We start from the raw sequence: 23,315 nt of genomic DNA on the forward strand, positions 1-23,315 counted from the left end.
CTTCTATTTCACTGTTTTTGAGGGTAAGGCAAGGTTATACAAAAATGGCAAGAGCTGGTAGGCTGCTGGTATTTGTTTTTAAGACTGCTGTTATCAAATCTGTGAAAACAATTTAATTTCACACATGCCCACAGACAGGCACAGAGAATTGTGAACTTAAAAAGAGACAGAAAGACTAGAACCTTTACTATATAGAACCTTTACTATAATGAAATTAAAGTGGTTTTGAGCTTTACATAATCACATATCTACCCCCTTTCTCATCATCCCACAACTACTATGGAAAACTTTACTCTGTCAACCTTAGTTTATCTATGATTAAAATTAGAAACACATCCTTGGGCCTTTCTTTGCATGCCATTTTTCCACGGTTTCAAAAAGATAAGCTTCGCCTATAAAAGGAGTTTTTGTTGCTATCTGGTTGCGTGTGGAACCTGACGGAACTGCCACGGTGAGTCGGGAACATGTTTTCCAGGCCTAATTGATCAGAATGTATCCATTTTCCCCCAGAGGTCTAAATGAACTAAAACTTGCCGATCTTTTAAAAACTTAGCCAGACTCAATCATGTTTTTAATTTCGTGTAGATGCTGCCACTTTGGACTCTTTCACTGCTGCTGGGAGCAGTAGCAGGTAAGAAAACAAATAAATGTTGAGCTGGGAGAGATTCACTTTTCAACACGGTCAGGAGGGCTAGGGCAGCTGAATTCAGGCCGCAGTAATAACATGAAGATTTACTTCAAGGAGTAAAGCACAGGAGACGCATAAGAGCACAGGTACATGGAGTAGGGTTGTCAGAAAACATCTAAGATGCCCAGTTAAATTTGAATTTCAGATAAACAGCAAATATTTCCCACAAACAACAAATATGTGACATATCTATACTAAAACATTATCATTTATCTGAAATTCAAATTTACTTGTATTTTGATTTGCTAAATCTAGCAACCCTGACATCAAGTCAAGTTAAGAGTTTGAACCTTGGCTCCACCACCACCTACAACTGTATTACCCTGAGCAAAATTCTTAACTCTTCTGTGCTTCAGAATCTTTGTCTGCAAAATGGGGAGAGTCGGATTCCCCATCTCCTAGGATTATTGTGAGAATTAGGTCAGATTAGTAAACCATCCAACCCAGCACCTGACACATGGTAAGATGTTGAGAAACGCAGCCCCCACAACAGCTGCTACTCTTACTCCTACCATTAATCTAGATTTATCCTCCTTAGAGAAGAGAACCCTTCTTTGGGTTATTTTTTTATGGAGTGACATTCAAGCCTAGAGTTGTGTTAAACCATGGATTTTTGGTTTGGTTGTTTGTGAACAGCTTCTTCATCACAGGAATGAAGATGTCCTGCAGTACAGCAAGGATGGGGATATACGGTTTTGGCCTTTCCATAAAATTTTAGCTCTCCTTTCAAAGCCCACAGCTAAACAGTGGCTACAAGAAGTTAAGGCTTAGGGACACAGGGCTGTCCCTTTCTTGAGCACCTATAGCCCAAGGAAGATATCTGAGTTTAGAGGCTAAAAGGAGTCCCACGTTGGGATTGGGCAGAGACACAAGGGGAGTGAAGTGATCCATGTGGTAGAATTGAGGAACAAGAACAACAGCCTGTCTGGAATAGTTGTGTTGTCTTTTGAAGCTGTTTTGTGAGTGTGTGGCTAGGAGGGTGTTGAGAGTAGCAGAGGAGGAAAGTCTACCACACAGTGTAATTGAACTCATATATTGGCAGACAGATCATTAAAAAGAGCATGTTTGTAAAACTAATATCCTTCTGGGGGATTGCAGGAAAAGAAGTTTGCTACGAAAGACTCGGCTGCTTCAGTGATGACTCCCCATGGTCAGGAATTACGGAAAGACCCCTCCATATATTGCCTTGGTCTCCAAAAGATGTCAACACCCGCTTCCTCCTATATACTAATGAGAACCCAAACAACTTTCAAGTAAGAACTATCACTGTGTTTAGAACTAAGTTCTTTGGGAGGCCGAGGCGGGCGGTTCACGAGGTCAGGAGATCGAGACCATGCTGGCTAACATGGTGAAACCCCATCTCTACTAAAAATACAAACAATTAGCCAGGCGTGGTGGCAGGCGCCTGTAGTCCCAGCTACTCGGGAAACTGAAGCAGGAGGATGGCGTGAACCCGGGAGGCAGAGCTTGCAGTAAGCCGAGATCGCGCCACTGCACTCCAGCCTGGGCGACACAGTGAGACTCCATCTCAAAAAAAAAAAAAAAAAAAAAAAGAAGAAGAACCAAGTTCCACCTGTTTTCTGTAATAAGGATACTGAATATTCAAGTTCTTAAGAGAAAAAAATCAGCCGTGAAATTTGCATCTTTGTAGATATTCAGGGCACTGAGCTTAGGTATTACTTAATGTAAATTGTTTATAAAAGATTCATTAACTTCATATTATTCTTGTCCTTCCTCTATAACATTTAATAAATATTGTAAATGTAGGGCTATATTTATACATATAAAGTATATAAACATTCCCAATATTATATATTTATGTAATCTCCTATTATATATATGTATCTCTACATAGATAAAGACATATAAAAATACACACACGCACACACACACACACAAAGCCTTCCATTGTATGAAGAAAAGATCATTACCACCAAGATTATAACAGACATATTATCCCAAGTTGAACAATGGCAAACATGTTGTGATGACTGGGAAATGGCAACATGATGATGATAGTGAATACTGTGGTTGCTATGGAGGAATCATTATTCACAAGGATCCTGAATCCTAGCAGTCTTCTACTTACTGCCCCTCTCCATGTACAAATGGTTCTATTGGCTACTATAGGAAACTGACATGAAACACTTTTCTGTCTAAACAGGAAGTTGCCGCAGATTCATCAAGCATCAGTGGCTCCAATTTCAAAACAAATAGAAAAACTCGCTTTATTATTCATGGATTCATAGACAAGGGAGAAGAAAACTGGCTGGCCAATGTGTGCAAGGTGAGATGTGGTCATCTCTCAAGGAAAGATCGTTTCCAAAGTGGTAATTAACAAACGGTAAGGCACTGGCCCCGACCAATGAGGACAGTGCTTGGAGGTCTTGGAGGATATTCAGACCCCTGCTGGGCCTGGAGTTCCTAGGGGAGGTCAAGGAGGTGGTGGTGGGAAGAGGGGGTTTAGGATGGTCAGAGCAGTGAGGCTGGCAAGCACTTGGTGGATCTAGGCAGTGGTTATTTAATAACTGATATGGAGGTGTTTCAACATTATAGCAACAGATGCTGTCATGCTGATGCACACCAGCTGGTTATAGGCCCCTGTTTTTTCATTAGTTTTTAATTTTATGTGAAGTGCTAAGAGGTCTCATTTTGCCTGAATGAATTCTTTTCCTTTGATTTTCACTTGCTACTCTCGGATCTCCTCTGGTAGCAATAACTTTGAAAACTGTGTAGGTTTTCATTTTTGGCTTCTGTTGTTTCAACAGCGGTGATCCTATTTTCTTTAATTTGCCTTTGGCTATATGCCCTGTCATAAAGAAGAATGAAAAGACAGAAAATCAAATAGAATAAATTTTCCTAGTAACTGCTAGTGCTTGAGGAACATTACTGTTGATTCATTTATTCAAGTATTTATTCATGTATTCATCAAATTTCTTTGACCTGCTGTCGCACAAAGGGAGTAGTCCTTTCTTCAGAGGTGTCAAGAAGAAAGACACAGGCTGGGTGTGGTGGCTCATACCTGTAATCCGAGCACTTTGGGAGGCTGAGGCGGGCGGATCACGAGGTCAGGAGTTCGAGACCATACTGGCTAACACGGTGAAACCCCGTCTCTACTAAAACTATAAAAAAAATTAGCCAGGTATGGTGGCACGCACCTGTAATCCCAGCTACTCAGGAGGCTGAGGCAGGAGAATCGCTTGAACCCGGGAGGCAGAGGTTGCAGTGAGCCAAGATCGTGCCACTGCACTCCAGCCTGGACAACAGAGCAAGATTCCGTCTCAAAAAAAAAACAAAAAAAGACACAAAGGTCCTCCTAAGCCCATACAGTTTCAGGTCTGCCTCTGGCTCAAAGCAAGGGCAGAATGAGTCAACTCCAGAACCTATCCATTGATCCTGAAGACAGATGAGCACTGTAGAATCTGTACACTCCGCAAGTTTAAACACAAGCAGTAAAACCACAACTTGTCCTCCAAAATAATTTAAAGCTGATGATTACTGGAGGGAGGGTAATAATAGATATTTATAGAACAGCAAAGAAAAAAATGTGATTCTCAGTTCAAAAGGAATATAGTTACCTTTGATATGGCTATGCAATTTATTTCTAAGATCCCAAAGGCAATTGTGGTTTGTTTTTGTTTTGTTTTGTTCTGCATTGATTTGGCTTTGACAGAACTATTGCTTTGAGACGCAGAAACAAGTGGTTTAAACTAGAAGGATAAAGGTTCTACAGTCCAGTCCTGACTCTCTCCTTAGCTAACTACGATTAGCAAATCTTTTCCCTGCTTTGGATTTTTCCTTTTGAAAAATGGAAAAGTTGCAGATGATTTCTAAGATTGTTCCATTATTCTCAAATTCTTTTTTTTTTTTTTTTTTTTTTTGAGATGGAGTCTTGCTCTGTCCCCCCGGCTAGAGTGCAGTGGCGCGATCTTGGCTCACTGCAAGCTCCGCCTCCCGGGTTCACGCCATTCTCCTGCCTCAGCCTCCCGAGTAGCTGGGACTACAGGCTCCCACCACCAGGCCCGGCTAATTTTTTGTACTTTTAGTAGAGATGAGGTTTCACCATGTTAGCCAGGATGGTCTCGATCTCATGACCTTGTGATCCACCTGCCTCGGCCTCCCAAAGTGCTGGGATTACAGGCGTGACCACCGCACCTGGCCTATTCTCAAATTCTTTTTGAAAAAAAAAAAAGAAGCTATACATAAACACACTCAGACAACAGAATTCCTTCCAGAACTAACCTCCATGAAGCCCTAATTAAATGCCATCAAACAAGGCTTTCCATAGATATCTGGTAGGCAATGTTTTCATGTGAAATATTAATAACTCTTTAGTGATGTACAATAAAACACGTTCATCCAAAAAATTTGATTAGTCTTTCTATTGTGGAAAAACTTATTTACCTTCAATGTATTTATATAAGGGGTCCTAACATTGTCTTTCATTCATTCATTAAATATTTACTGAGCATCTACTGTGTACCAGAATCTGTTCTGGACACTGAGGCTATACCAGTGGACAAGGTAAACAATGTCCTTGGGTGCATTCTATTAAGGGACAACGTAGTCTTATGGCATTTAGGATGACCTAATGAACAACACATTGTACCACATTTTATACAGTTTATACACTTTTTTCTTGAACTAAATGTCTCTGTATCTGCTACAGTAGAAATCCCAAGAATCCAGTTCCCACTATGGTCAAATTCCAGTTTGGAGATGATTTTAAACTTTAGCAGAGATTATATATCTATAACAGACTAAAAGTTTTGTCAATTGCATTAGGGTTAAAATGACATTGTGTGGGTCAAGGAGGGAATTTATCCTAGTCCTCCAGTATGTTAACTAGTAATTAATAAAGATCCTGAATTATTTATCTGTTTATTGTGCCCCTTCCACCAGAATCTGTTCAAGGTGGAAAGTGTGAACTGTATCTGTGTGGACTGGAAAGGTGGCTCCCGAACTGGATACACACAAGCCTCGCAGAACATCAGGATCGTGGGAGCAGAAGTGGCATATTTTGTTGAATTTCTTCAGGTAATTACTCCCGGATTGCATAAAAGCCTGTACACATGGTTTTCCAGATTATCTTTCCAAAAAAAAAAAAAAAAGCCTGTAGATTTAATCATAGATAAAGACACTTCTCTACTCAGATATGATGTTTCTCTTGGCTACAAAGAAAAATTAAAAAAAATCTAGCTTTGGGTTTCATCAATAACCCATTATGTTAATAAACTAGTTTTTTTAAGTTAACTTATTCAAGCAATTGGTAGGTTGTTTTTAATAAATTCCACGAGTATTTGTTTTAATTTTACTAGTTATTACCAATGTCAACCTTAAGATTAATCTAGTTTTATTTGATTTTAGTTTTGCTTTCTTAAGAGAAGCACGGTGATAACAAGCTAACCTCATTTGGTAACAAAAACCACAGAAAATGTTATACTTGAATGTGTTTAAATAATTGTTTTTATTTTTACTTTCTAATCCAAATACTTGCTTCATCATCTCTGGATAACAACTCTTCATGTTCATTAAGAGTTCTCTCTCCATAGTAAAACAACAAAATACAGCCCTACTTCCACCAGATTAAAAGTTAAACCCATTTCCATTTTTCATTATAACTATTTTAAAAAACATGGAAGTCAAGTGCTTTGGAAAGGCAGTGTATCTTCTTGACACTGAGGTTTTTGAAGGTTCTCCCTCTGCGCGCCTCATTGAATTCTGCAATACAGTCATGCACCACACAAGGACGTGTAGGTCAATGATGGACTTCAGATATGATGGAGGTCCCATAAGATGACAATGGAGCTAAAAAATTCCTATTGCCTTGTGACCTATAGCTATCATGATACCACAGCACAACATATTACTCATGGATTTGTGGTCATGCTGGTATAAACAAACCTACTGCACTCCCAGTTATATAAAAGTCTACCACATATAATTATGTACAGTATGTAATACATGATAATGATAATAAATGATGACATTACTGGTTTACATATTTACTACACTTTTTATCATTATTTTAAAGTATACTCCTTCAACTTATTAAAGAAAAATAAAACAGCCTCAGGCAGATCCTTCAGGAAGTATTCCAGAAGAAGACATGTTATCATAGGAGATGACAGCTTCATGCATGTTATTGCCCCTGAAAACCTTCCAGGGAACAAGATGTGGAAGTGGAAGACAGTGATATTGATGATCCTGACCCTGTGTAGGCCTAGGCTAATGCAGGTGTTTGTGTCTTAGTTTTTAACAAAAAATTTTGACAAGTTAAAAAAATTATCATAAAAATGGTTATAGAATCAAGATATAAAGAAGTAAAATAATTTGATACAGGGATACAGAGTGTTTTAAGCTAAAGGTTATTACAAAAAGTTAAAAGTTTAAAAAAAATAAAAATTGTGGCCTGGCACGGTGGCTCACGCCTGTAATCCCAGCACTTTGGGAGGCCGAGGCGGGCGGATCATGAGGTCAGGAGATGGAGACCATCCTGGCTAACACAGTGAAACCCTGTCTCTACTAAAAATACAGAAAATTAGCTGGGCGTGGTGGTGGGCGCCTGTAGTCCCAGCTACTCGGGAGGCTGAGGCAGGAGAATGGCGTGAACCCGGGAGGTGGAGCTTGCAGTGAGCTGAGATCGTGCCACTGCACTCCAGCCTGGGCAACAGAGTGAGACTCCATCTCAAAAATAAAATAAAATAAAATAAAAATTGCATAAAGAAAGAAAAATATTTTAAATGAACTGAGTGTAGAGTAATGTACAGTATATAAAGTCTTCAGCGGTGTGCAGTAATGTCCTAGGCCTTTACATTGCTTACCACTTACTCCATGACTTGCCCAGAGCAACTTCCAGTCCTGCAAGCTCCATTCATGGTAAATGCCCTCTACAGATCTACCACTTCAGAATTTTTTTATTTTTTTTCAGACAGAGTCTTGCTCTGTCGCCCAGGCTAGAGCGCAATGGCGCGATCTCGGCTCACTGCAACTTCCGTCTCCCGGGTTCAAGTGATTCTCCCACCTTAGCCTCCCAAGTAGTCAGGATTATAGGCACCCACCACCACGCCCAGGTAATTTTTTTACTTTTGTAGAGACGGGGTTTCACCATATTGGCCAGGCTGGTCTTGAACTCCTGACCTCAGGTGGTTAGCCCACCTTGGCCCCCCAAAGTGCTGGGATTACAGGTGTGCGCCACCAAGGCCAGCCTAAAATCATTTATACCGTATTTTTGCTGTATGTTTTTAGGTTTAGATATATTTGGATACACAACTAGTTACGTTGTGTTCCAGTTGCCTAGAGTACACAGAACAGTAACATGCTGTACAGATTTGTAGCCTAGGAGCAACAGGCTGTACCACACAGCCCAGGTAGGTAGTAGGCTATGCCATCTAGGTTTATGTAAATATACTTTATGATGTTCCCACAACAATGAAATCGCTTGATGATGCATTTCTTGTAACGTATCCCTGTTGTTGAGCAACTCATGACTGCACTTGAAAACATTCTGAAAAGGTTTTCTTTCCGACAGTCGGCGTTCGGTTACTCACCTTCCAATGTGCATGTCATTGGCCACAGCCTGGGTGCCCACGCTGCTGGGGAGGCTGGAAGGAGAACCAATGGGACCATTGGACGCATCACAGGTTGGTGAAAACAGTGAAAGATACCAGGGGGGTTGAGGCAAGATGATCTCTTGAGGCCAGCAGTTTGAGGCCAATCTGGGCAACATAGCGAGACTCCTATCTCCTTAAAAAAAAAAAAAAGAAAAAAAGGACGCTACAAACTTAGACTAAATGCAGCCTGTATGTGATTTAAAAGGAAATACAAGATGGAAATTTGGTGCAACCCTACGTTTTACCTTTTCACATTTTCTGAATTGGGCCCCATGATCAGAAATCGCTGTTCTGAGGCTTTGTAAAGTCTTCATTGATACCAATCTTTGGTCTACAGCACTCTGTTTAACATATTTATATTGCACGTGACTAGAATATGAATTAAGGACATCGAGAGATTTTATTCATGTCTATTTCCCCATTGACCGACATTCACAAAGGACAAGTTTCATGAATAGAATAAATTTCATAAATAGTAGAATAAATATAATTAAACCTAAGGAGCTGAAATTTGTATAACTAATTATATTCTGTTTCATTAGCAATTGCTAATGTGCTTAAGCCTCAAACATAACCCCAGAGTTGTCAGGGAAAAGGTGGTCAGGGTGCTCTGGGCTGCCAGTTCTGTGTGCTGCTAATGAGATAACGAATAGTATTTTACAAACCTGAGGCTGGCTGCATTCAGCCAGTGAGCTCACATATTGGATACCCAGGTTCTAAAACCTCTGTAAGGTTATAAGAAAGATGCTACCATCCTGGATCTGAGAGGTGATTATTTTAAGGAAGGACCACTTTCCTCTTCCATCTGTGTTCAACCTTTTTGTCTCTGACTTGGTGATTTTCTTTTTAACCCTTGGGATAAGTCGGCTGTATTTGGACTTGGGATAATCTGGACTGCCTATCCGTTCATTTGCTGAAGGGGAGATCTGCACAAGATTTTCTTTTCCACAGTCTGTAAATGTTTCTTTCCCACAGCCTGCTCGGCCAGGTGCTGTGCAGTGAATGCCTGTGGTCTCAGTGACGTTTGTGAAAGCCAAGGTCCTTGCCCTTGTGGGAGTTCACAGTCTAATGGGGACTATTTTAACCCTGCGTGGTTTTTAGTCCAGTGTGTCCCAGAGTCTACCTCTTTTGTTGTAACTGCTGCTAGTGACTAAGACTCTCCCAGTGACTATGGAGCCATGAGGAAAGGCATATTGTTTGGTTTGGGGAAAATTCACTTTAAAGCAAATAGCTAGAAGTAGATTCCTCTTCAGCAAATGGTCAGGTAAGGAAGAACCCGTTCATCCCTTTCCATGCATAACTCATATTTTACTCTTAATACTTGTACTCAGGACTTGTCATAATTCATGAAACATACTCTTTACTTTAGGGTTGGACCCAGCAGAACCTTGCTTTCAGGGCACACCTGAATTAGTCCGATTGGACCCCAGCGATGCCAAATTTGTGGATGTAATTCACACGGATGGTGCCCCCATAGTCCCCAATTTGGGTGAGTTCCTCAACCCGTCCCCCAAAGGGTGTTATAGTGTCTGAGTCTATATACATTAGCATAAACCCTCATGTATTTTTATGATTTCAGGGTTTGGAATGAGCCAAGTCGTGGGCCACCTAGATTTCTTTCCAAATGGAGGAGTGGAAATGCCTGGATGTAAAAAGAACATTCTCTCTCAGATTGTGGACATAGACGGAATCTGGGAAGGTAGAACTATTATGTGTAGAAAGAGATCTTCTTGGGAGAAAGCTTGTGTTTTGTTTTGCTAAACTTGCTAAATTCTTTGGAATTGTACAGGTCTCACATTTTACATAACAAAAGACTTTTAATTGTATCCATGAGATGTAGGTTTTCACTGGGATAAGTGGGCATGAGGAGACTGGGAAAGAAAGCGTATTTTCAGTCAACTTCAGAGTACCTAATTCAGGGAATGAGCTTTTATTTATTTAAACCAATCTTTTTCTTCTACAGTATTTTAAACCTTTCATTTAATTACAGTATTACCTATTATAATCTTAAACAGTACTCAACTTGTGATTACATCACAAATCATAAATATACTTTACAAATGACTTTGTTCTGTGACCTGCATGAGCTCACACTAATTAGAGAAATCTATTCAACCACTATATTCTGAATATGACGTTAACTTGGAAAAATAAAATCTGTCCTTGATGTGTAATTGTGTCTGATTCAAAGGGACTCGAGACTTTGCGGCCTGTAATCACTTAAGAAGCTACAAATATTACACTGATAGCATCGTCAACCCTGATGGCTTTGCTGGATTCCCCTGTGCCTCTTACAACGTCTTCACTGCAGTAAGTAGACTCCACCTTCCGCATAAAGAATTTTGTGACTGTCACTTCTCATGACTGGTGTGCTTTCCTATACATGACATCATTCAATGAATGTTTATACTTTTGAACTTATACATGCCTTTAATTATATGTATTTAAATAGTGATAAATTAGAGCACTTTAGAGAAATGAGCTTGTACATGGAAATGTCCTGTTTACTTTCATTTGTGTTACTTTTGTATGCATTGGGTAAATGTCCAAACTTGTTTTAGAAATAACCCTAAACAGACAAAAAATAATTAGTCTATGGAAATCTGAGCAATATCTGTAGGATGCTGATGAACATGGAAAAATTTTCTTAAATGCTGACCTTTCTAACTATTAATATATAATTATAGACATGTGGACATTTCTGTGCAATTTCATAATGGCCAAAATTTTTTTTTGAATTTTCATCTTATTTGGTATTCTCTTGATATCTTGGTTGAATTATTTATTTAATTTTACTTTAAGTTCCAGGATACTAGTGCAGAACGTGCAGGTTTGTTACATAGGTAAATGTGTGCTGTAGTGGCTTCCTCTTGGTTGAATTCTTTATATGTGATCTCAAATATGACATATCTATTGTCTGGGTTTTTTTTTTTATAAAATTGACTTTGCTTTGTACCATAAATTTTTGAAATAAAAATTTAAAACCTATGGATTTAATAAGAAAATTTCCAGTAACAAATGTGCCAGCTGAAGTCACAATTACCCAGGATATATACCTTAGTGATTAAGAGAGAGGATGCAAATCTTGGTTTCACCATTAAATAGCTGAATATCTTTGGGCAAAACAGTTCTCCAAGAAGTTTCTTCATGTATAAATGTAAATACTGATGGCAAACTTAACATATTTGGTGAGAGGACTTAATGAGAATACATACGTTAATTGCTTAGCCCAGAGCAAAAAAATATAATAGCATTCAATTAATGTTAGCTATTATGGGAGAGGGAGTACATATATTATTCACACTACAGCTTCCATATGCAGTGAGACAGAAGATCCCTTCTTTATTTATTTTAACTTTATTTTTATTTTCTTCCCCAATACCCAACAATAAGTAATGGGGGAAAAAAATAAAGAAGCAAACACAAAAGCCTCAGGTTTCATTCAGTTAAAACTTAGTCTAATTCAACAATATAAACAGTTCTTTCAAGTGATACTCATCACTTGTATAAGAAAAAATGTCTCAGTCTTGCAGATTTCTTCACCTTTGCACTCCCTTCTAAGCTTCTCTCCAAGTGAGTGCTGGGGCCAGGTGATCTGGTGGTGGTGGTCGATGTGTGTTCAGCAGAGGAAATGAATTGGGAGTCCATGGGTGTAAAGTTTTTGGGCTCCTTTCGACTCTGGGTAATAGCCTTGCCTGTTTTATTGATGGGCACACTGCTGTATTTAGAGATGACGTCTTGGGCTTGTCTATTCTTCTGGCTCTAGCAATGCCCTCAGAGAGCTTTGGCCATTTCTTCCCGGCTGGCTTAGGCAACACCTGGATTTTGTTGAATGCCAACCCTGGGACTGTGATAAGCCCATAATATGGTCCATTGAGCCAGGAGTCCACCACTTGCCTTCACTGTAGAGTAGCCCTGCCCCTCACAGTGGGAATTGGGACACTTGTCCTGCCAACTTGGTTCCTCCCTCTCCATCTCTTTTTCCCAGAAGTCCTTGGTCCAGAAATAAGGGGTATTTTCCTATACGAATATGTCTTCTCCAGGTATCAGCCTCACAGTAAGCCTTAGGCTAGCTGGGGCATTTTCTCTTCACATAGAGAAAATTCCGGGATCTGAATCCTTCAGGGCTTGATATGCTAAACATGAGCTAAAACAATTGAAAAAAGCCGGGCGCGGTGGCTCATGCCTGTAATCCCAGCACTTTGGGAGGCCGAGGCAGGTGGATCAGGAAGTCAAGATCGAGACCATCCTGGCTAACATTTTTAAACCTTTAAAAAAAAAAAAGAATTGAAAAAAGCCTGACTTTTGAGCCTATTGTCCTCCTAATAAATTCTATTTTGTTTATCAGAAGCTGATTATAATCTCTGTTCTACTTATGCAATCTTTCTTTCTTTTTTTTTTTTTTTTGAGACGGAGTCTCGCTCTGTCACCCAGGCTGGAGTGCAGTGGCGCTGTCTTGGCTCACTGCAAGCTCCACCTCTTGGGTTCACACCATCCTGCCTCAGCCTCCCAAGTAGCTGGGACTACAGGCGCCCGCCACCATGCCCGGCTAATTTTTTGTATTTTTAGTAGAGACGGGGTTTCACCATGTTAGCCAGGATGGTCTTGATCTCCTGACCTCGTGATCCTCCAGCCTTGGCCTCCCAAAGTGCTGGGATTACAGGTGTGAGCCACCATGCACAGCCAACTTATGCAATCTTTCTAAAATAAATTCTAGCTGTAAGTAGATGAATGTCTTGGGAGCAAATTAGGCAAAAGAGAAAAAATAGAAGATAGATACACACACACACACACACACACATATTCTCTCATTGTATGATTTGTTTTTTTTTTGAGATGGAGTCTTGCTCTCTTGCCCAAGGCTTAAGTGCAATAGTGCAGCCTCGGCTCACTGCAACCTCTGCCTCCTGGATTCAAGCGATTCTCCTGCCTCAGCCTCCAGAGTAGCTAGGATTACAGGCGCCTGCCACCATGCTCAACTAATTTTTGCATTTTTAGTAGAGACGGGGTTTCACCATGTTGGTCAGGCTGGTCTCGAACTCCTGACCTCTGGTGATCCACCTGCCTCAGCCTCCCAAAGTGCTGGGATTACAAGCGTGAGCCACCACGCCCGGCTCGTTGTAGATTTTTATAGTATTGTGTTGTTTGACAGTGAAGTTGGTGACTTACTGTTGTGAATAATGAAATGCATTGTTAATCTTTGCTGCTGAGACACTATTAAAGTCCCCATTTATCATCAGAACAGAACTGGCTTTAGAATATTTGAATGGCGACAACATGTAGGAAATATGGTACACAACTAAAAGATAGGGCATCCTCATTCATCATTTGTTTGTTTTCACTAGAACAAGTGTTTCCCTTGTCCAAGTGGAGGCTGCCCACAGATGGGTCACTATGCTGATAGATATCCTGGGAAAACAAATGATGTGGGCCAGAAATTTTATCTAGACACTGGTGATGCCAGTAATTTTGCACGTAAGTTTCTGTTTTCTGTATCTTATATTCTTATTGCTATATATTTTATTATTATGTCCACTGAAAATGTGCATACTTGCTTTTCTATACAAAAGCTTTAAACACCCCCTCTGCAAGGTGGAAAAATGCTCAATGCTATGTTCAAGGTAATTATAGCTAATTAGGGTGGCAGAACGGAGTTTGGGTCCTGGACTCTTAATGCTGCAAAAATAAGTTTCTTCATATTTGATTCTGGTGCTGAATTCAGAAGGCTTTCTCTGCTCCAGCCTCTTTATATTCAGTCAAAAGTTTCACTGAACAAAATTCTGAGATTTTTGTAAAAGCAGAAAAGTAATCTAGGAGAGAGAGATGGCAGAGGTTGTGAGAATGGAAAGACATTGACAGATTTAAGAGACGTTTAGGATTGTAGGCTCCATGGGTGATGGGAATTAGAGGCTGGAGGAGTGGTAGGAATGGGAACAGGTTCTGGGTTTCTTTTCCAAATAACAGAGGAATAAAATTATTTGGATGAGAGTTAATGGGGTTACCGACATTTTTAAATACTAATGACAAATTTTATCTCCTCCCCAATTTGCTCTGCCTATCTCTAAATGGCAAACTATTGGCTAGCACCAAGAAAACGTTCTTTTGGTTTTCATAAATTAATATATTCCCAAAGGCAATGAAAAGTTGAATTATAGAATTTTGAAAATAAATGTAGATATTTAGACAAAAAGATAGCAGTACCCTAAAATTTGGTGATCTATGAAAATAAATTAAACTGAAAAAATGTCACAGTTCACAATTTTACAACTACCTTTTAACATAAAGTTCTTATAACTTTCAAGGATAAATTGTCAGGTTGGAAATTGAAAACTAAATGTATTCCTTAGTCCCTTGGCTTGAAAAAAAATCTGTCTTAACTTTGAAAAAATTCTGCAAAGCCCCTATTACCTAATGCCTGTCCCCTAAACACATATAAAGGAATATCTATCACTATTTCATTAGAAAATTACACACACACACACACACACACACACACACACAATTATAAATAAATTATTCAAAACGTGGCAGTAGTGGGATGCAAATTAACTTGTTTTTAGTGTCTTTTATCTCCAAACTGACATTTTGCAATTTTTCTCCCTTGCAGGTTGGAGGTATAAGGTATCTGTCACACTGTCTGGAAAAAAGGTTACAGGACACATACTAGTTTCTTTGTTCGGAAATAAAGGAAACTCTAAGCAGTATGAAATTTTCAAGTGAGTAAAATAATATTGCTCTATGCTTTTTTTTTTTTTTTTTTTTGAGTCGGAGTCTCGCTGTGTCGCCGGGGCTGGAGTCTTGCTCTGTCACCCAGGCTGGAGTGTAGTGGTGCAATCTTGGCTCACTACAACCTCTGCCTCTAGGGTTCAAGCAATTCTCCTGCCTTAGCCTCCCGAGTAGCTGGGATTACAGGCGCCCACCACCACGCCTGGCTAATTTTTGTATTTTTAATTGAGATGGGGTTTCACCATGTTGGCCAGGCTGGTCTCAAACTCCTGACCTCAGGTGACCTACCCACCTAGGCCTCCCAAAGTGCTGGGATTACAGGCATGAGCCATGGTGGCCAGCCAATGCTTCTTAATGTTGGAATACTGCACATGTATAATGTATGTCATCGACATAAGAGTTTGTCTATTCATTACTAAATGGAAGTAGAGTACTGACATGTATAAGGGAAAAGGAAGCAATTATGTCATCCTTACGCCTTAGTACCATTCAGAATTCAGTTTCTAAATATTTTCATGCTATTTCCTGATAAAACCATTCATGTTTGCTTTGATAACTGGCATCTGATTTATGATCAGTAATTAATTAGTCTGCCCACAAAACACATGTGAAAAGATGATGGCATACTCTCATCATTTATTAAATTGTGGGGGAATGGTGACTAATACATGTTTGAAGTTTTACTAAAGTAAAGGTGACTAATATGAGATGTTCATGGCAAATGGACTACCACTGAGTTAGCATGCATGTCTGAATTTGTTTAATATGTTAGAATGCAAATGTACTGCCAATCACCTTAGCCAGAAATGCATTGTAAGCTGGTCTTAGAAACATAAATGTGTATGTATATATGTACACACTTACATACACACAAATATATATGTATATATTTACATGTATGCTCATGTATGTTTTTGTTAACTTCTTAAATCCTTAGGGGCACTCTCAAACCAGATAGTACTCATTCCAATGAATTTGACTCAGATGTGGATGTTGGGGACTTGCAGATGGTTAAATTTATTTGGTATAACAATGTGATCAACCCAACTTTACCTAGAGTGGGAGCATCCAAGATTATAGTGGAGACAAATGTTGGAAAACAGTAAGTAATGAAAATCCCAGGAGATGTGAAATATCGAGTCTGTGTTTATAGTTCTATTCCCACTAAAAGTCTAATTTAAGTGAAACCTCCTACAGGGGATCGCCTACATCCTAGTTGCAGTTGCTTCCTAATGCCTTCTGTTTCTTTAGGGAAAAGGGTAGAACTTTAGGAAACAGCTTTGATCAATTCATGATAGATGTGTGTTAGCTGATACAAATTAAATGTTAGAATGAGAAACCGGCTTCATGATTCTAAGGTGAGAGGAATGTTTCCTTTGGCAGCTGTGCTTCGTGCTATGTGAGTGCTTCTTGTGTGCATCTTCCAAACTTCCCAGGCTCACCTAATTGCTGTTTAAGTTGCTGGAAACACAGTGAATGTTTCAAGGAATAGAAATAGGCTTTTCCAAATCACTGGTCTTCTTAGTGAAGACGAAGGTCCAGGAGATAATTCTTGGTTTCAACCAGGACTGGAGTGTGTGGGAGCCAAAGGATGGTGAACTACCAGGAAAGGTGATCTGGTGATAATCATAACAATACCAATACTAGACCAAGTATTTCTGAGTATTAGGCCAAATTCTGAGGCAAGCACTGTGCTTCTGTCATTCTATCCTTCCATCCTCATAAAAACCAAATGAGAAGACTTTGCTTCTGGCAAAGATGGAGTAACAGAGCCCAGATTTACTGGCCTGACTGAAATAACCAAAATTCAAACAAAGTACATGAAAACACAGTTTTCCAGACACTGAACATTGAGGAATAAGGGATAGTGATTGCTGAGAGACAAAAACGGACAAGATGGAGCCTGGCAGTTGCCCCAGCTTACTGCTCCGAGAGATTTCCAGGATGTGTCACAGGGAGGAGAAACCCAGGCAGAGTTCAGTGGACTCCTTAAGTTAAAGAATCAGAGCTAAGAATGAGAAGATCCAGGGAAGTAGATTTCACAGGACAGCATACCAGAGAGGAGAGAGTTGCTGAGGGAGAATCCCAGAGATTATGAAAAGTCTCCCTGAATATTCATCAAGGTACTGATTGACCCATGTATGAGAACAAACCAGCTGGAGGTCATTGAAATATCCATTTGATGGATTAGAGAAAATAGTTCCCCTACTTTTGCAGGACTGAGAATGGTGCTTGTTTCCACCAAGCAGTCTGGAAAAGTTTATAATTCAAAGGACACAGGGTAGAGTATTTTAGAAGGTCTTGCTTTATAGTGGAAAATAATTTACCTATATTGACCAAGATCTGTAAAGAAACTGTTTCCAAATAACTGCATTGCAGAACAAAAAGGTCAAGAATATTTATAAAGATCCAGAATTATCAAGTACCTAAAACTCTAAAATCCACAGTATCTGACTTTGACTCAAAGATTCCCAGGTATATAAAGAAGCAGAAAAATACAGCCTATAATGAGGAGAATAATCAATCGACACCAAAACAAAACTGACATAGATGTTACATTAGCAGAGGAGAAAATTAAAACAGTTCTTAAACCTGTATCCATTTGCTTAAAAGGTCAGTAAAGGCATGGCATATACAGGTTAAGTGTTTCTCATCCAAAATGCTTGAGATCCGAAGTGATTCAGATTTTGAATTTCTTTAGACTTTAGGAATAGTTCCATTATATGTACCAGTTGAGCATCAAAAATTAAAAAAAAATCCAAAATCTGAAATGTTCCAATAAGCATTTCCTTTGAGCATCATGTTGGCAATCAAAAGTTTCAAATTTCAGAGCATTTTGGATTTTTTATTTATTTTTAATATATTTTATTTTTCCATAAGTTATTGGGGTACAGGTGGTATTTGGTTACATGAGTAAGTTCTTTAGTGATGATTTGTGAGATCCTGGTGCACCCATCACCTGAGCAGTATACACTGCACCATATATGTTGTCTTTTATCCCTCGCCCCTCCCACTCTTCTCCCCAAGTCCCCAAAGTCCTTTGTATCATTCTTATGCCTTTGCGTCATCATAGCTTAGCTCCCACATAACAGTGAGAACATACGATGTTTGGTTTTCCATTTCTGAGTCAAGTAACTCAGGAATGGATTTTTTTATTTTTGGATTTAGGATGCTCAACCTATATAGAAAAAGACCCACACTGAGTTTCTAGAGATGAAAAATACAATGTCACAAACAAAAAATGCACAGAATGTAATTAACAGTAGATTAGACATTATAGAAGACAAGGTTAATGACCTTGAATACATAATAGAAACTTTCTGAAATGAAATACACAGAGAAAAAAATCTTAAAAATAACTTTAAAAGAACATCAGTGATCTGTGGGACAATAATAATAAGGCTTATTTATTTGAAATAAGACCCTTTTTTAGGTCTTTGAAGACCCTAACAAAGAAGGGACAGAAAAATATATGTGAAGAAATAATACCTTGAAAATTTTCAAACATGGTGAAAACTATAAACCAACAGATCAAAGAAAATCACAAGAAACATGAAGAAAACAGCACAGCACCAATACACATAAAAATCAAAATGCTCAAACCAGGTAGAATGTACATTATTCAGGTGATTACACTAAAAACCTAGATTTTACCACTATACAATATATCCATCTAATAAAACTTCACTTGTTCCCTTAAACTTACACAAATAAAAAAATGTTGAAACCCAATTATAAAGACAAAATATTGAAAGCAGTCAGAGAAAAACCACACATTAGAAGAGTAAAGAAAAAAATAACAGCAAATTTCTAATCAGGAACAATGCAAGCCAGAAGGCAGTGAAACAACATCTTAGAGTATGGAAAGGAAAAACTGTTAACCTGGAATTTATACCCATAAATATCTTTCAAAGACAAAGATGAAATAAAGACTTTTAAAACTGAAATAATTCCTCACCAGCAGGTTAACACTAAAAGAAATGTCAAAGGAAGGCCTTCAGGCAGAGGAAAATGATACCAGGTAGAAAAGAATTCACTAAAAGAAATTAAGAACACAGGAAATAGGAAATACATGATAAATACATAATATTTTTAATTCTTATTACTAAATTCTCTTTGAAAAAATTGACTATTTAAAAAATAATGACAGTATTTTGGGGAGTAAATAATATATGTATAAGTAAAATATAACAATGACATAAAAGGCAGGAGGGGAGACCTGAAAATATACTATTGGAAGGTTCTTATACCATTTATGAATTGGTATACTTTCCCTTGAAGGTGTGATAAGTTAAAAATATGCGCTATAAATTCTAAAATAATGAAACAAATAATGAAACAACCACTAAAGTAATGAAACAAAGGATAATAGCAAGTAAACCAAACAAGGAGATAAAATGGAATAAAATATAATCCAAAATAGAGTATAAAAAGAGCTAAAAGGGGCCGGGTGTGGTGGCTCACACCTGTAATCCCAGCACTTTGGGAGGCCGAGGCGGGTGGATCATGAGGTCAGATCGAGACCATCATGGCTAACACGGTGAAACCCCGTCTCTACTAAATACACGACGCAGGCGTGGTGGTGGGCTCCTGTAGTCCCAGCTACTCAGGAGGCTGAGGCAGGAGAATGGCGTGAACCCGGGAGGCGGAGCTTGCAGTGAGCCAAGATCGCACCACTGCACTCCAGCCTGGGTGACAGAGCGAGACAATGTCTCAAAAAAAAAAAAAAAAAAAAAAGAGCTAAAAGAGAACAAAGAATATAGGAGACAAATGGAAAACAAATAGAAGACAATAGACTCATATCTAGCCATGTAAATAATCATATAAAGTAAAAATGGTCTAAATACTACAATTAGAAGACAAAACTTACCCCACTGTATTTTTTAAAACTCAATATCCAATTGTATTCTGGCTATATAAAATGCACTTTTTTTTTTTTTTTTTGAGATGGAGTCTTGCTCTGTCACCCAGGCTGGAGTGCAGTGGCACGATCTCAGTTCACTGCAACCTCTGCCTCCTGGGTTCAAGTGATTCTCCTGCCTCAGCCGCCTGTGTAGCTGAGATTACAGGCAGCAGCACCACTCCCAGCTAATTTTTGTATTTTTAGTATAAGTGGGATTTCACCATGTTGGTCAGGCTAGTCTCAAACTGACCTCAAGTGATTCACCCACCTCGACCTTCCAATACATCTCGCTGAGTCAGCGATTTTGGTGTTCGATATTTACCCATGAGGCAAGAACACATATGATTATACAAAAGATTTGTACATGAATATTTATAGCAATTTTTTTTTGAGACAGAGTCTTGCTCTGTCACCCAGGCTAGAGTGCAGTGGCACGATCTTGGCTCACTGAACCTCCATCTCCTGGGTTCAAGCGATTCTCCTGCCTCGGCCTCCCCAGTAGCTGGGATTACAGGCATACGCCACCCTGCCCAGCTAATTTTTGTATTTTTAGTTGAGACTGGTTTTCGTCATGTTGGCCAGGCTGGTCTCGAACCCCTGACCACAGGTGATCCACCTGCCTTGGCCTCCCAAAGTGCTGGGATTACATGTGTGGGCCACCGTGCCTGGCCTGTAGCAGCTTTTATTGTAACAGCCAAGAAGTAGAAATAATCCAAATGTCTACCAATAGAGGAATGGATAAACAAACTATGGTCTATGGTCTGTCCATACAATGGAATATTACTCAGCAGTAACAAGGAATGAACTAATGGTACACTCAACAATATGGATGAATCTCGAGATAATTATACTGAATGAAAAGCTAGACAAGAGTGCACACACCTTAGATTCCATTTATATAAAATTCCAGACAATTCAAACTACTCTATAGTGACAGCAGAGCCGTGGTTGCCTGGGAGGAGTGAATATTGGAGGGAATGGGAAGAAGCAATTACAAAGAGGAAGAAAGAAAATTGGGGGATGATAGATATGTTAATAACTTTGATGTTGGTGATGGCTTCAGAGGTGTGTGTGTGTTGTGTGTGTGTGAAAACGTATCAATTTAAATATGTACAGTTTATTCCAGGTAAATTAAAGCTCAATAAAGCTGTTAAAACAAAAATATATATCCTATGAGGTAGATGGTTTTATTATCCTTATTTTATGGATAATTAATTAAGGTACTGTTTCTGAATTTCTATGCAGGAAGTTTGACTCTACAAAATTCTTAACTACTACAAAAAAATTCAGTTCACCTTTAATCATGTATAAATATTGGTGCCTTTCTTTTCTTGTGTCCCTGATTGATAACAGTTTTAACCTTTAATTTCCTATTTGTGAGGCTGCCAGTCATTGAGGAAGTGAGCGTGAAGGGAAAAAAACATTTTCTGAGCACTTTTTTTCTGTTCCTGGTAGTTTACATATGGTAAGGTATTTTATTAAAGAAAAATATTCCAAAGCATCCTAAGTATTGTTCAGCCTGTTCTTTCTTTCTTTCCTTTTTTCCCTCCCTCCCTTCCTTTCTTCCTTCCTTCCTTCTTCCCTTCCTCCCTCCCTCTGTCCTTTCCTTCCTTCCTTTCTTCTTTCCTTCCCTCCCTCCCTTCTTTCTTTTCATTCCTTCCATCCTTCCTCCCTCCTTTCTTTCTCTTTCTTTCTTTCTTTCTTTTCTTCTCTTTCTTTCTTTTCTTTCTTTCTCTTTCTTTCTTTTCTTTCTTTCCTTCTTTCTTTTTTTCTCTTTCTCTCTTTCTTTCTTCTTTCTTTATTCCTTCCTTCCTTCCTTCCTTTCCTTTATTTGATCCACACAGGGAAAGAAGGCATATTGTTCAGTCACAATGAGAAAAGTTTGTCATTTCAGTTCAAATATTGAATTAAAATAATGGTTAGCCAACGTAACACCAGAAATTAGACTTTATACACTGGGCTGATTTCTTATGATGGTGACTCTGCTGTTCCTGAGTTGCATTGGTTGACATGGGCTAAGTGTTCAGTGACTGCTCATGACAAATGAGTCTTTCTTTTTCTTTGGGGCGTCTACTGACAGCTTCTCTCTCAGCTATTGCACAACCAGAAAATAACACTGGAAAGGAGAATTCAGTCCTTTATGTAGAAGAGGTCTTCCCTCAGCCATTGTCTGGTCTCCAGCACAGGGTGCGCCCTTCCCTCAGACTAGGAGGTTGGGGGCATAGATTGTCCTCACTGTCACACTCCAGATATGTGCCAGGAAGAGGAGGTGACTTTGTGTTGTTTTTTCTCCACAGGTTCAACTTCTGTAGTCCAGAAACCGTCAGGGAGGAAGTTCTGCTCACCCTCACACCGTGTTAGGAGACTACTGTTATTTGACCAATGAATTGACTTCTAATAAAATCTAGTGGTGATGCATTACATGCCTGTTTCTTTTGTCCAAAACCTCGATTGTTTCAAGTGAATCTGTTGGATGAAGTGACTAAAATCCAAAATTTGGAGTTGGTCAAAAGAACCACCAATGGCTGTTAAATTTTGCTGCATATTTGACCTTAAGAATGTTGTTTACATGGTACTGTCATCATGTTCATTATCAATATTACTTATGCCATTCTGGTCACTTAAGGCAGTCTTCCATGTCCAAAATGACCCCCTCTTGGTGGGCTCACATGGAAAGACTCACAATTGCCACTTTTTCCATAATCTTTAAGTTCTGTGTCTGCTCCTAATCAGATATCTCAGGGGAAATGACACACAAGGAGATAAGGACTAGACAGATCCAATGCTCCCTAACAGGTCTACCTGGTCTATGTGGGGCTCCCCCAAACCCCTCACTTCTGCAGCCTCTTTGATTTTTCTAAAGCGCAAATAAATCATCTTCCCAGTGGTCCCCAGGACAGAATCCATATTCTTTAGTAAGCCTTGTGAGGTCCCTCTTGGTCTGGTTGTCTCCTTGGACTCTAGCTTCATCTTTCACTATGTTCCTTCTGGAACTCTACATTCTGACCCTGTCCCCCAAGAGGGTTGTCTTGATCTCTGATGCTGCTGGATGTTGTCAGGAACTCTTCTTCTTCCTGGGATGTTCTTTTCTCTGTCTTCCTGTCTGTTAAGCTCCTACTGGTTCTTAAATCTTTTTGTAGACATCACTTCCTCCAGGACTCACCTCCATTATCCATACCCACTAAGACTTGATGAGGGGCTTACCACTATTATACTCCCACCACACCCAGACATTTTGCCGTCTCAACACTGGACTTCCCATATTGTAATTGCTTGCTGGCTCACTTCTCTGTATAGCCCATTTCTAAACTCCTTAAGGAGTTTTCCCATTGTATGTGCCTGGCACATGCCTGGCATATAGTAGAAGAGAAAATATGTATTTTTT

General features: G+C 39.2%; 1 protein-coding gene across 1 annotated transcript; it reads left to right on the forward strand.

Annotated features, from left to right (window-relative positions):
• PNLIP (pancreatic lipase) lies at nucleotides 424-22,348 on the forward strand. Its single transcript, NM_000936.4, has 13 exons — nucleotides 424-451; nucleotides 586-631; nucleotides 1,787-1,941; nucleotides 2,853-2,975; nucleotides 5,591-5,725; nucleotides 8,220-8,331; nucleotides 9,671-9,790; nucleotides 9,881-10,000; nucleotides 10,493-10,611; nucleotides 13,647-13,776; nucleotides 14,909-15,017; nucleotides 15,965-16,129; nucleotides 22,228-22,348. The coding sequence occupies exons 2-13, from the start codon at nucleotides 586-588 to the stop codon at nucleotides 22,289-22,291; spliced, it is 1,398 nt and encodes a 465-aa protein (NP_000927.1). The 5' UTR covers nucleotides 424-451; the 3' UTR covers nucleotides 22,292-22,348.

This window comes from Homo sapiens, chromosome 10 (assembly GCF_000001405.40).
Source record: "Homo sapiens chromosome 10, GRCh38.p14 Primary Assembly".
Taxonomy (NCBI): domain Eukaryota; kingdom Metazoa; phylum Chordata; class Mammalia; order Primates; family Hominidae; genus Homo; species Homo sapiens.